Here is a 1,075-nt window from a genome sequence, read left to right as displayed (position 1 = left end):
TTTTTTTCAGTTGTGCTAAAATACACATAACATAAAATGCACAATCTTAACTGTTTTTAAGTGTATAGTTCAATGGTATTAAGTACATTCACATTGTTGAGCAACCATCACTACCATCCATCTCTAACATTTTTCATCTTCCAAAACTTTTTTCATCCTTAAAACTTTTTTCATTTTCCAAAACTGAAACTCCATATCCTTAAACAATAACTCCTGTGGCCTCCTCCCTTAGCCCCTATCACCATTCTACTTTCTGTCTATATGGATTTGACAAATCTATGTACCTCATATAATTGGAATTATATGATATTTATCTTTTTGTGACTGGCTTATTCCACTTAACATAATTCTTTAAGATTCATTCACGTTGTAGCATATGTCAAAATGTGCTTCTTTTTTAAGGCTGAAAAATATTCCATTGTATGTGTATACCACATTTTGTTTGTCTGTCTATCAATGAGTTGCTTCCACCTTTTGGAGATTGAGAATAATGCTGTTATCAACAGGGGTGTACAGAAAATATTTTATTATTTACTTACTTTTTGAGACAAGGTCTTGTTCTGTTGCCAGGCTGGAGTTCAGTGGCATGACCTTGGCTCACTGCAATCTCTGACTCCAGGGCTCAAGTGATCCTCCTACCTCAGCCTCCCGAGTAGCTGGGACTACAGGTGTGGGCTGCCACGCCCAGCTACTTTTTGTATTTTTTGTAGAGACTGGGTTTTGCTATGTTGTGCAGGCTCGTCTCGAACTCCTGAGCTCAAGCAATCCACCTGACTCCACCTCCCAAAGTGCTGGGATTACAGGTGTGTGCCACCACACCAGGCCAGAAAATATTTTTAAAGACTGCAGATTCCTTAGATGTTCTAATTTACTGACTCAAGTCTTGAAAGTGGGAGAGGCAGGGTGGGGAGCAATTTGGAAGATATATTTTAAATGTTTTCCAGGTGATTTGGAGTACAGATAGTATAGTCCTTGAGTTGTCAATTGGAAGTCACTGATACCACACGGTGAGTACTACTTGTACTAGTCTACAGGTATAGAAAAAAACAGAACAATAAGGTTATGACGTGAGAGC

The 1,075-nt window shown here is 38.5% G+C and overlaps 1 annotated feature.

Annotated features, from left to right (window-relative positions):
- Positions 365-534: an enhancer, noted in NCBI's record as "experimental_40373 CRE fragment used in MPRA reporter constructs". NCBI's record gives its function as "activates a minimal promoter by MPRAs in K562 erythroleukemia cells, with activity observed for the non-introgressed 15:57099116 variant allele {active_cell/tissue: K562}" and the evidence as "EXISTENCE:reporter gene assay evidence [ECO:0000049][PMID:34662402]".

The sequence above is a fragment of the Homo sapiens genome, chromosome 15 (genome assembly GCF_000001405.40).
Source record: "Homo sapiens chromosome 15, GRCh38.p14 Primary Assembly".
In the NCBI taxonomy this organism is placed as follows: Eukaryota; Metazoa; Chordata; class Mammalia; order Primates; family Hominidae; genus Homo; species Homo sapiens.
The sequence above is the reverse complement of the archived record's forward strand: the minus strand, read 5'-3'. Positions and strand labels throughout refer to the sequence as shown.